Genomic DNA, 12,403 nt, shown 5'->3' on the forward strand with positions numbered 1-12,403 from the left:
CCTCTGAGCCATGAGCCACACCCAAACATGACATACAATACCTCCACACAACCCAACACGTTATATTCCAACATGCGTGGCCACACAACAACATACGCGGAGTAATACACCAGCACACAGTAACGCAAAACACATAAACACAATGTTTTCCAACACACCCAACCTTCCACAAACGACCACATGTCCCATAAAACACCAGATGTCACCACTCACTGATACTACTGACACTGAGGTCTACCGCCACCCACACAACACCAGCATCGGGGGAGGGGGGTGTATCCTCTGACACAACATAACACACAGCTACACAAACACAAGACACTTGGGGTGGTTGGCACTCAGGGTGGGTGCTGGGGGCTGAGAAGGAAGAGGCCCCCAACAGGGACATGGACCCTGACGTGAGATACAGCAAATGCCAGTGTGGAATGTGCACGGTGACTCTCAGAGCAACACACAACATAGGACATCTCCATGTGTCGCAGCACGAGCCACTCATGGATCTGTACACCATACGCTCCGACACAGATCAAACCCTCCTGTGGAGACACACAGGCATGCACTGACCTGGTGACGCACATCACCTCCCAGCATCATGCACTGAACTGGTGACACTGCCCTTGGCCTCATGCACACCCCTCTGCAAGGAACCTGCGGACACAACCCTCCCCCTCCTTGTGTCCTAGGTCGTGTGGGACCCTGGACCCACCAGCCCCAGGGAAGCGAGACACGCACAGACATGTCTGACTGCACACCAAGGCAGCCCACACAAACACACCCAGAGACACCAAACCATACACATGGACACGCCCAGTGGCAAAAACACAACCCTTGCGGGGGCTCCGCCCCTCGGCACACACAATTACCCACTCGGCGAGACTTGGCGGGAGAGGGCTGGAGACACACCCGGGCGCGCCCAGACACCACACATGCGTCCACTTGGGGAAAGTGCAGCCGCCGGGCACTCCTGAGCCTGCAGCCTGGGCACCCCTGCCCACTGGCCGCCCGGCTCGCTGCGTCTCTCTCCTCCCTCTCCGGCTCTTTCTCTGGTTCTTTGGGACTTGCTTCCTGTCTCAGTCTCTCCTGATCTGGAAACCTCCGCGTTTGTCTTTTTTTTTTTTTTTTTTTTTTTTGAGATAGAGTCTTGCTCTGTCTCCCATGGCTGGAGTGCAGTGGCACGATCTCGGCTCACTGCAACCTCCACCTCCCAGGTTCAAGCAATTCTCCTACCTCAACCTCCCGAGTAGCTGATATTACAGGTGTGCACCACCACACCCAGCTAATTTTCGTATTTTTAGTAGAGACGAGGTTTCACCATGTTGGCCAGGCTGGTCGTGAACTTCTGACCTCAGGTGATCCACCCGCCTCGGCCTCCCAAAGTTCTGGGATTACAGGCGTAAGCCACCGTGCCTGGCCAGGTTTGTCTTTATCTCTGTCTCTGTTCTTCTCTCCTGGTACCTTTGTCTCTCTCTGTCTCTCTTCACTCTGTCTCTCTGTCTCTGCCTCTCTTAGCCTCTCTGTGTCTCTCTCATCGCTCTGTCCCTTTCTCCATCTTCGTGTCCCTCTCTGCTCCTCTGTTTCCTTCTTTCCCCGTCACTGTCTCTCTGTCATGTCTCTCTCTGTGTTCATCATTGCCTGTGTCTCTGTCATCGTGTCTCACTCTGTCTCCATCTCTCCGTCTCTAGGGCCCTCTGTTTTTGTCTGTCTCTTGCTGAATCGGTGTTTCTCTCCGTCTCTGTTTCACTCTCTCCCTGCCTCCTGGTCTCCTCTTGGGTCTCTCTCTCTCTCTCCGGGCCTCTCTATGCTTGTCTCTGCCTCAGTTTCTCTCTGCTGTTCACTGGCACATCTACGGACAGCCTGGTTCCTTCCGGTTCTACCCCAGTCCCACTCAGGGGTTGAGGGCCAGTGATCCAGAGACTGTGGCCACCCAAGGGTCAGAAGCCACTAAATAGCGCTCCAGCTGCGGCCATGCCATGGCATCTGTGCCCCAGTTCAGGCACTTGTGAAAAACGGAGACAGAGACTGACACAGAGGGAGAGAGAGATAATCAGAGAGACCTCGAGGCATTCAGCCAGGGATGGTGGGGGCATGTATTAAAAAAAATCAAAGAGACCCACAGGTGCAGAGAAACCGGAAAACACAATCAAGACACGGAAGTTAGAGCACAGAGAAATTTTGTCTCCAAATAGGCCATGACTGAAAGAGAAAAACAGCAAAGGATGGGCATGGACATGCCTGGGTGGCAGTGATGGGGTTACAGTGGGAAGGGCACCTGCCTTCAAACTGCAGTCCTGGGATGCAGGGGTCAGTCCTAGGAAACTGCTTCACTCCTCAGCCAGCTGCCTCCAGCCCAGGGAGGGGCCAAGGGGGGAGGGCGAGGTGACTCAGGGCCTCAGGGCTTCTTGTGACTCACCCTTGGTCTCAATCCTAGAATGGGGAGTGGAGGGAGAGAGGGGTTTGTGTAAAAGAGAGGGAGAGGGAATAGTAGAGGACCTCAAAATGCCTAAGAGGAAGGGTCCAGGAGGAAGAAGCTGGGGGTCTGGACTCCTGGTTCTGAGGGAGGAGGGGGTCTGAGGGAGGAGGGGCTGGGGTCTGGACTCCTGGGTCTGAGGAAGGAGGGGATGGGGTCTGGACTGCTGGTCTGAGAGAGGAGGGGCAGGGGGTCTGGACTCCTGGTTCTGAGGGAGGAGGGGGGCTGGGGTCTAGACTGCTGGTCTGAGAGAGGAGGGGCTGGATCTGGACTCCTAGGTCTGAGGGAGGAGGGGCTGAGGCCTGGACTCCTGGGTCTGAAGGAGGAGGATCTGGGGTCTGGACTCCTGAGTCTGAGGGAGGAGGGCTGGGGCCTGGACTGCTGGTCTGAGGGAGGAGGTGCTGGGGTCTGGACCCCTGGGTCTGAGGGAGGAGGGGCTGGGTCTCATACACTGGAAGAACTGATTCCAGAGTCTCCAGGATTTTTCCTTGGCCTTGTCCCAGCTGCACCACCTCTGTCGCAGCCCCATCTCCGGGCCTGGAAAGAACCCAGGTGCCTCGGGGCCCAGCAGGAAGGGGCCAGGGACAAAGAGTTGTTTAACTGGGCAGGCTGGTGAAGGAGAGTGAAGAGGGTGTCTCAGGCGGAAAGGTCATTCATCGCCCAAGGCTTGTGCAGGGAAAGGCAGGGCTGAGCCCCGAGGAAGAGATCCTGAAAGTCAGAGGTCAGTGGCGGCAAATCCTCCACCGCCATCTCTGGGACCTTGGAGCCTGGAAGCTCCAGGGCTTATAAATACTGTCACCTAGTGTTCACTTAGGCAACTGCAGACACTCTCCCTGTCCAGCCTGGTTTCTTGCCAACATAGAGCAAAACACCTACTGAGTGCCAGGCACTGCTCAAGGAGTTGGCGATATGTAATGAACAAAAATGGACAAAATTCTTGCTCTTGTGGAGTTTCCAGGCTAAAGGAGGGAGACCTCGTGATTCCATCAATCTCAGTCTCTTCTTTGCTCTCAGTCTTCATTTTTCTCTCTGTATATCATTGTCCTTGTTTTTTCTTTCTTTCTCTTTTTCTTTCTTTCTTCTTTCTCTCTCTCTTTCTTTTTTCTTTTCTTTCTTTCTTTCTTCTCTCTCTCTCTTTTTAATTAAAAAACATTTTTTTGGTCATAAAATCAGTTCCCACTATGTTGCCAGGCTGGTCGCGAACTCCTGGTCTCAAGCCATCCTCCTGCCTCGTCCTCCTAAGGTGCTGGAATTACAAGTGTGAGCCACTGCGCCTTGTCTTGCTTCTCTGTTTCTATCTCCTGGTCTTAGTCTCCAAGTGCATGCTTTTCTCCTTTCTCCTTTTTTCTTCATTTCTGCTTTTATTTTCTTCTTTGTATCTCTGTGTTCCCCGCCAGTTAAAAATGTATGTATATTATGTTATTACACAGAGACATACACCCACACTCTATATATAGTATATGCAGATATGTAGTATAGTATATGGCATAGTATACAGATGTATAGTGTATACAGATGTATATGATATACAGATATCTATATCTCACAATATGGAAGTCTAGAGACCTCGGTTTAAGCCTCGATGTGACCACTGACTTTATTCATTCATTCATTCATTCATTCAAGACAGAGTCTCGCTCTGTCACCCAGGCTGGAGTGCAGTGGCACGATCTTGGCTCACTGCAACCTCCACCTCCTGGATGCAAGCGATTCTCCTGCCTCAGACTCCCAAGTAGCTGGTACTACAGGCATGCACCACCACACCAGGCTAATTTTGGTATTTTTAGTAGAGACGGGGTTTCACCATGCTAGCCAGGCTGATCTTGAACTTCTGACCTCAGATGATCCACCTGCCTCAGCCTCCCAAAGGGCTGAGATTAGAGGGATGAGACACCACCCCCGGCCTAACTTTATTTTTGTATGGAATATGTTATACGTACAGCCTGGTTTAGAGACAAACCTGAGTTCAAACCTAGTTGCCATCCATAGTTGTGTGCTCTGTGAAACTTGTAAAAGAGGGATTATGTTTCCTATGTGACAGGGCTGCTTGAGGCTTAGGTGAGAGAGAATGTCTGGAGCCCTAACAGCAGGCCTGGTCTATGTTAAAGTCTTGTGATACATTGTCTCCCAAGTTGCCTGCCAGTGACTCCTCCCTTCCCTGCACTGGCAGGTGGCTTCTCCCACGAAAAGGAACAGTATGTTCCTTCTCCTTCAGTCTATCTGGCTCATGACTTGCTTTGACTAATAGAATGTGGCAAATATGACACTGAACCAGTTCCAGGTCCAGATGTTAAGGAAACTAGAAGCTTCTGCTTTTGTACCCTTAGAACTAGAAGACCACCATGCTGTAAGGAAGCCCAAGCTAGTCACATGGAGAGGCCATGCAGGGAGAATGAAGCTATCTTGGCTAAAGCCCCAGTCCTGTCCTAACAGAATGCAACCATGTGAATGACTTCAGGAGAGACCAGCAGAAATGCCCAGTCAAGCCTCAATCATGAGATTGTTTATTTTAAGACACTAACTTTTGGAGCGGGTTGTTACACAATAAAAAGTAGATTATTATACCCTTATGTTCATATCTGCATGTTTGAAGTTTTCCATAATAAAAAATATATATATATGGGCCAGGCATGGTGGCTCACGCCTGTAATTCCAGCACTTTGGGAGGCTGAGGCAGGCAGATCACTTAAGGCCAGGAGTTCAAGTCCAGCCTGGCCAGCATGGCGAAACCTCATCTCTACTAAAAATACAAAAAAAATTAGCCAGGCGTGGTGGTGGGCACCTGTAATCCCAGCTACTCAGGAGGCTGAGGCATGAGAATCACTTGAACCTGGGAGGCAGAAGTTGCAATGAGCCAAGATCGTGCCATTGCACTCCAGCCTGGGTGACAGAGTGAGACTTCAACTAAAAAAAAAAAAGTATATGCATATGTATGTATATGTGAATAGATAATAAAATAATAAAATGTATAATGCAAATTGCACTCCATACACTGCAGCTAGCATCATTTTGCTCCTAATTTTTTTGCCTATGAGCCTTTCTTGGTCAGTCTCAGCTTGGGTCTCAATTTTCTTGTCTGTCTTTCTCTATTGCTTTCTTTCTGTGTGTCTATTCCTATCTTGGCGAAACTCCTCCCATCACTTTCCTTTGCATTTACTTTGCTTTATCACATTGGCCTTGTTGCTGATTCTCAAACATACCAAGCTTTTTTCTGCCTCTGGGTCTTAGCATTTTCTGTTCCCTCTTCCTGAATGCTTGCACCTCCACTCTCTTCATGGGGCATTCCCTCACTTCATTCAGTTCTCTGCTCAAATATATATATGAATTATTATATATATTATAATAGTATACAATATATAATATCATATAACATATAATAAAAATAATACATATATCAATAATATATAAATATATAATCATATAATATATAAATATATTATATATTATATTTATATATTATATATAATTTATATATAATATCTAATAAATAATTATAATTTATATAATATATATAAATTTATATTATCATAAACATTTGTTTATATTTATATTATTATAAATATTTATATTTATAATATTATAAATATTTATATTTATAATATTATAAATATTTATATTTATAATATTATAAATATTTATATTTATAATATTATAAATATTTCTTTATATTTCTATTATTATAAATACTTATTTATATTTCTATTATTATAAACATATAATTATATTCATATTATTTACATTATAAAATATATATTTATATTATAAATATATATCATTATATTTATATTTATATTTATGTTTATGTTATTTATATTTATAAATTTATATAAATTTATATTATTTATATATTCATATATATTTATATATAATTTTTGTTTCCTATTTTATTAAATTTTTTTGAGACAAGGTCTTGCTCTGTCACCCAGGCTGGAGTAGAGTGGCACAATCATAGCTCACTGCAGCCTCAACCTCCCAGGCTCAAGTGATTATCCTGCATCAGCCTCCTAAGTAGCTGGGACTACAGGTACAAGCCACCATGCCTAGCAAATTAAAAAAAAATTGCTAGAAAAGGAGTCTTCCTATGTTTCCCAGGCTGGTCTTGAACTCCTGGACTGAAATAATCCTCCTTCCTCAGCCTCCTGAAGTACTGAGATTACAGGCATGAGCCACAGTATCCAGCCACTCTGCTCAAATATAATCTCTGCCTTAACCACCTCTTCAAAAACGGTCTCTTCCATCTCCCTCAATCATCCTACATCTTATTTCACTGCTTTATATTTTATCATAGAACTTATGACTATATAAAATGATCTCATTTTATCTGTCTCATTGTTTAAGGACAGGAACCTGGCCATCCTGTGTTCAGAACAGTGCCTGGCACATAGCAGATGCTCAATGAATATTTGTTGAAGGAATGCTCTTGTTCAATGATACTGATAGGCGTTTTTTGACTCTAGCCTCTTGTCCTGTTCCACACTGTTCAAGATGGCATTTCTTCATTTCCCTGTCTTTTGTCCTCCGTTAGTTGAGTTGCTGTCTGTGGTTCTGAGACCCAATACTGTGGATCTGTCCTTGGTGCTGACCTGGACTTCCACTTCCGCTTAAGCTTGGGAGGGTGGGGGAATCTTGGGAAGGGGCAAGGTTGTATGTAAAATCCAGACATTAAATAATCATTATCTGCATTACCAGAAGAAGAGAGATGTCTGGGTTCCCAAGTGGGTGTATGGGTCACTGTGAGTTAAATAGGTATTAGTTCTATCTATTATCTACCTTTTCATATATACATACATATTCATATATGTGTACATATATATTTATTATCGAGAACTTCAAACATATAGAAGTGAACAGAAGAGTATAATAAATCTCCATGTATCTATTTAACAAATACCAATTCGTGGTCAATTGCATTTCATCTGTGCTTCCATTTACTTCCTCACTTCCTATGTTATTTCAGTGTAAAACCTAGAGGTAATACCATTTAATCATATGTGGCATTTAAAATTGTTTTCTTTTTCTTTTTAGAGGCAGGGTCTCACTCTGTCACCCAGGCTGAGTGCAGCGGCCCAATCATAGCTCACTGCAGCCTCGACCTCCTGCCCCCAAGAGATCCTCCTGCATCAGCCTTCCAGGTAGCTGGGACTACAGGCGCACACCACTGCACCTAGTTACTTTTAAAATTTTTAGTAAAGACAGGGTCTCTCTATGTTGGCCAGGCTGGTCCTGAACTCCTGGCTTCAAGCAATTTTCCTACCTCGACCTCCCAAAGTGCTGGGATTACAGGCGTGAGCCACCAGGACTGACCTAAGACAGACTTACACATTGCAAGTCCGCAGATCTTAAGTGTATGGATTAATTCAGTTAAACCTGTATACAGACATGTGTGACCACCATCTCTATCAAGCTATCTCCATCACCACAAGAGGCTCTCTTGTAACCCTCCCAACTGATACACCAGAGATAACCAGTATTCTGAATCCCTATCACCAAAGATTAAAAAGCTCTAATATGGATGTCCAAAGACCTGAGCTCTAGCCATGTCTTTGCTTTTGACATTAAAAAAAAAATAGGTCTGGCGCGGTGGCTCAAGCCTGTAATCCTAGCACTTTGGGAGGCCGAGGCAGGTAGATCATGAGGTCAGGAGATCGAGAACACCCTGGCTAACACGGTGAAACCCCGTCTCTACTAAAAATACAAAAAAAAAATTAGCCGGGCATGGTGGTGGGCGCCTATAGTCCCAGCTACTCGGGAGGCTGAGGCAGGAGAATGGCGTAAACCCAGGAGGCGGAGCTTGCAGTGAGCCAAGATTGTGCCACTGCACTCCAGCCTGGGCGACAGAGCGAGACTCTGTCTCAAAAAATAAAAACAACAAAAACAAATAAATAAATAAAATATACCTTATATGCCAAAAGTGCATAAAACATAGTGGTACATTTTGGACAAATGATGTATTGTGAACCTCCATAAAATCAAAGGCACACCAAGAGAAAGTATTTGCATTCCCTAGAATCTCCTTATGTGCTCCTTTATGATCGGGAACCCCCAACCTCCAGAGGAAACCACTACCCTCACTTAGAAGGGACTTTAACTCCTCGTAGACCATAACACTCACACTCTGGTTTCTCAGTTCCTCCTTCTGCCTCCAGCCTTTTAATCCTAAATTGCCCTTGACTCTGGAAACCAGGCAGCATGAGAGGCCCTCTCACCATCCACCTCCCTGGTCTCCCTGCCTCCAATCTCACTCCCTCGGGCCTGTCTCCTGCATGGCCACAGGGAGAGCCTCATATCACCTGGCTTTGACCATGCCTCGCCCCTTCTCTATATCAGTCCATGTATCCCCATTGGCTGTAGGAGAAAGTTCAGAAAATGTTATCCCTATTTGACATTGTAAGCCCTTCAGGGGCACTGCCACATCTTCATTCACATCTTCTTCACTTAAAAAAAAATAGAGACAGTGTCTTACTCTGTTGCCCAGGCTGGAGTGCAATGGAGCGATCATAGCTCACTGCAACCTCAAATACCTGGGCTCAAGCAATCCTCCCACCTCAGCCTCTCTAGTAGGTGAGACCACAGGCATGCACCATCATGCCCCACTAATATTTTTAGTTTTTTGTAGAGATAAGGTCTCACCATGTTGCCCAGGTTGGTTTCAAAGTCCTGGGCTCAAGTGTTCCTTCTACCTTGGCCTCCCAAAGTGCGGGGATTACAGGAGTGAGCCACTGCTTCTGGCTTTCCTCACACTTTAAACACAGGTAGGTACTGAAAAATAGTTTTTCAAAGTGGTTGTTCTATTTTACACACATACTACTTGGATGTGAGAATCCCAGTAGCTCCACATCCTTGCTAATAAATGAAGCCTTTTATTTTACTTTTTTTTCTTTTTTTGAGATGGAGTCTCACTCTGTCGCCCAGGCTGGAGTGCAGTGGCGCAATCTCGGCTCCCTGCAAGCTCTGCCTTCCAGGTTCACACCATTCTCCTGCCTCAGCCTCCCATGTAGCTGGGACTACAGGCACCTGCCACCACGCCTGGCTAATTTTTTGTATTTTTAGTAGAGACAGAGTTTCACCATGTTAGCCAGGATGGTCTTGATCTCCTGACCTCGTGATCCGCCCGCCTCGGCCTCCCAAAGTGCTGGGATTACAGGCGTGAGCCACTGTGCCCAGCCTATTTTACTTTTAATTAAATTGTTTAGAGAGACGGGGTCTTGCTACATTGCCCAGGCTAGTCTCGCACTCCTGGGCTAAAGCAATCCTTCTGCCTCTGCCTCCAAAATTGCTGGGATTACAGGTGTGAGCCACTGTTTCCAGCAGGTGAAGCTTTTATTAGGTGAGTGCAAAAGTAATTGCGATTTTTGCATTGTTGGAATTTGCCATTTGATATTGGAATACATTCTTAAATAAATGTGGTTATGTTACACATCTTTTTTTTTTTTTTTTGAGACAGAGTCTCACTCTGTCACCCAGGCTGGAGAGCAGTGGCACGATCTAGGCTCACTGCAACCTCCGCCTCCCAGGTTCAGGCGATTCTCCTGCCTCAGCCTCCTGAGTAGCTGGGATTATAGGTGTGCACCACCATGCCTGGCTAATTTTTGTATTTTTAGTAGGGACAGCGTTTCACCATGCTGGCCAGGCTTGTCTCAAACTCCTGGCCTCAAGTGATCTGCCCACCTTGACCTCCCAAAGTGCTGGGATTACAGTTGTGAGCCACCATACCTGGCCTGTTATACATCCTTGTAATGGGCATTTCTTGCTTTATGTTTTTCTGCTAATGACTTATTACTTGATGTTTATTTTATGTTTATTTTAGACTCTGGAAATGATATTAGACAAAAAGCACATTAGAGCGACTTTCTTATTTCTTATTTGAGTTCAAAATGGGTCATAAAGCAGAGTTTGTTGAATCCTGAAGCACATATTTTTATACTACAGGAATCAACAAACTTATTTCTCATTGGCAAAAATGTGTTGATTGTAATGGTTCCTATTTTGATTAATAAAGATGTGTGTGAGCCTAGTTATAATGATTTAGAATTCATGGTCCGAGCTGGGCGTGGTGGCTCACGCCTGTAATCCCAGCACTTTGGGAGGCCAAGGAGGGTGGATCACCTGAGGTCAGGAATTTGAGACCAGCTTGACCAATATGGTGAAAGCTCCCCCTCCCCCTGGCCCCTGTCACTATTAAAAATACAAAAATTACCCGGATGTGGTGGCATGCATCTGTACAGTCCCAGCTACTCAGGAGGCTGGGACAGGAGAGTTGCTTGAACCCAGGAGGTGGAGGTTGCAGTGAGCCGAGATCGTGCCACTCCAGCACTCTAGCCTGGGCAGCAGAGTGAGACTCTGTCTAAAAAATAAATAAATAAAATGAAATTTATGGTCCAAAACCATAATTACTTTTGAAAGGCATCTCCCTCTCTGCTAAGCACTCAGGAAGGCATCTGGGTCGCAATACCCAAGCAGCTACATAGCCGAGTCCACAGTTTCACTTGGACCCCCCATACTATGAGTTCTAAGGCAGTCGGTGCACCCCTGTTCTACTTAGTGAGAGCTGTCAAGTATAAGCTTTTAGAAGTTTTTGAATCATTCTCATGACAAAGAACTGCCAATTGCTCATGTATTTCATCTCACAGGAGTCCTTGGCCACCATGCCTCAGGGATAATCTTCTATCTCAGAAGTACAGTCATACACTGCCTAACAACCCCTTGGCCAACGACGGACTGCCTTTATCATCACTGTGGCACCATAAGATTATAAAGAAGCTGGCCAGGTGTGATGGCTCACGCCTGTAATCCCAGCACTTTGGGAGGCTGAGGCAGGTGGATCACTTGAGGTCAGGAGTTTGAGACCAGCCTGGCCAACATGGTGAAACCCCGTCTCTACTAAAAACACACACAAAAAATTAGCTAGACGCGGTGGCTCATGCCTGTAATCCCAGCTACTCAGGAAGCTGTGGCAGGAAAATTGCTTGAACCTGGGAGGCGGAGTTTGCAGTGAACCGAGATCGTGCCAATGCACTCCAGCCTGGGTGAAAGAGCAAGACTCTGTATAAGAAAGAAGAAGAAGAAGAAGAAAGATTACTATGAAGCTGAGCGATTCCTTTTTTCCCCATTCCTCAGGCTGAAACCTATTTACCCTGTTCCTCAGGCTGAAACCTAGGAGTCATCTCAAGTACTCCTCAACCAATATATCAGCAGGTCCTGTCTTCTCCACTAATAAAACCTATTCCTTGCAGCCTGTTAAGGAGAAGCTAAATTTTTAAAAAATCTATTCATTTTCCAACTCCTTGCACTACCTCTGCCATCATCTCTTGCCTAGGTATATCATCTCTGCCTAGACTGGGGCAGTAGCCACCTCACAGGTCTAGCTTCCATTCTTGCCACAGGGAAGCTTTTAAAATGTAAAGCATGTACACAAGAGCACATGCTGTAGGATTCCATTCATATGAAGTTTAAAAATAAGCAAAATTGATCTGTGATAGAAGTTGGAGTCATGGTTATCCTTGGGGTGGGAAACTGACTCTGAAGGGCTATGAGGGAGGCTCTGGGGACATGGGCTGGAAATATTCTACATCTTGACCTAGGTGGAGGTTATTCAGGTATGTACATATGGAAAAATTGCAATTTATGCATTTTATTGTATATATTTTATACCTCAATGAAAATGTTATATCATATATTACATGTAATTATATGTGCATATAATTATATACACATACAACATATATATACACACATACACACACACACATACACCCTTATATATGATTATGGCAGCCTTCTACTTCTCCAACGCATTCTTTTTTTTGTTTTTTTGAGACAGAGTCTCTGTGTGTTGCCCAGGCTTCAATGCAATGGCATGATCTCAGCTCACTGCAACTTTTGCCTCCTGGGTTCAAGTGATTCTCCTGCCTCAGCCTCCCAAGTAGCTGGGACTAC

At 45.4% G+C, this 12,403-nt stretch overlaps 9 annotated features.

Annotated features, from left to right (window-relative positions):
- Positions 488-537: an enhancer, noted in NCBI's record as "active region_14741". NCBI's record gives its function as "activates an Ori minimal core promoter by ATAC-STARR-seq in GM12878 lymphoblastoid cells {active_cell/tissue: GM12878}" and the evidence as "EXISTENCE:reporter gene assay evidence [ECO:0000049][PMID:35858748]".
- Positions 488-981: a biological region, named in NCBI's record as "CRISPRi-validated cis-regulatory element chr19.4589". NCBI's record gives its function as "regulatory_interactions: KCNN4".
- Positions 515-981: a transcriptional cis regulatory region, noted in NCBI's record as "candidate enhancer chr19.4589 targeted for multiplex CRISPR interference". NCBI's record gives its function as "positively regulates KCNN4 gene expression with high confidence in K562 cells {active_cell/tissue: K562}" and the evidence as "EXISTENCE:mutant phenotype evidence [ECO:0000015][PMID:30612741]".
- Positions 678-847: an enhancer, noted in NCBI's record as "active region_14742". NCBI's record gives its function as "activates an Ori minimal core promoter by ATAC-STARR-seq in GM12878 lymphoblastoid cells {active_cell/tissue: GM12878}" and the evidence as "EXISTENCE:reporter gene assay evidence [ECO:0000049][PMID:35858748]".
- Positions 2,193-2,487: an enhancer, noted in NCBI's record as "tiled region #14970; K562 Activating DNase unmatched - State 5:Enh". NCBI's record gives its function as "activates a minimal TATA promoter and a strong SV40 promoter by Sharpr-MPRA in K562 cells {active_cell/tissue: K562}" and the evidence as "EXISTENCE:reporter gene assay evidence [ECO:0000049][PMID:27701403]".
- Positions 2,193-2,487: a silencer, noted in NCBI's record as "tiled region #14970; HepG2 Repressive non-DNase unmatched - State 10:DNaseD". NCBI's record gives its function as "weakly represses a minimal TATA promoter and a strong SV40 promoter by Sharpr-MPRA in HepG2 cells {active_cell/tissue: HepG2}" and the evidence as "EXISTENCE:reporter gene assay evidence [ECO:0000049][PMID:27701403]".
- Positions 2,475-2,976: an enhancer, noted in NCBI's record as "H3K4me1 hESC enhancer chr19:44288851-44289352 (GRCh37/hg19 assembly coordinates)". NCBI's record gives its function as "activates a minimal SCP1, AML or CMV promoter by ChIP-STARR-seq in primed H9 embryonic stem cells {active_cell/tissue: H9 hESC(primed)}" and the evidence as "EXISTENCE:reporter gene assay evidence [ECO:0000049][PMID:30033119]".
- Positions 2,977-3,476: an enhancer, noted in NCBI's record as "H3K4me1 hESC enhancer chr19:44289353-44289852 (GRCh37/hg19 assembly coordinates)". NCBI's record gives its function as "activates a minimal SCP1, AML or CMV promoter by ChIP-STARR-seq in naive H9 embryonic stem cells {active_cell/tissue: H9 hESC(naive)}" and the evidence as "EXISTENCE:reporter gene assay evidence [ECO:0000049][PMID:30033119]".
- Positions 2,982-3,429: a transcriptional cis regulatory region, noted in NCBI's record as "candidate enhancer chr19.4591 targeted for multiplex CRISPR interference". NCBI's record gives its function as "positively regulates KCNN4 gene expression with high confidence in K562 cells {active_cell/tissue: K562}" and the evidence as "EXISTENCE:mutant phenotype evidence [ECO:0000015][PMID:30612741]".

Source organism: Homo sapiens, chromosome 19, assembly GCF_000001405.40.
Source record: "Homo sapiens chromosome 19, GRCh38.p14 Primary Assembly".
NCBI lineage: Eukaryota > Metazoa > Chordata > Mammalia > Primates > Hominidae > Homo > Homo sapiens.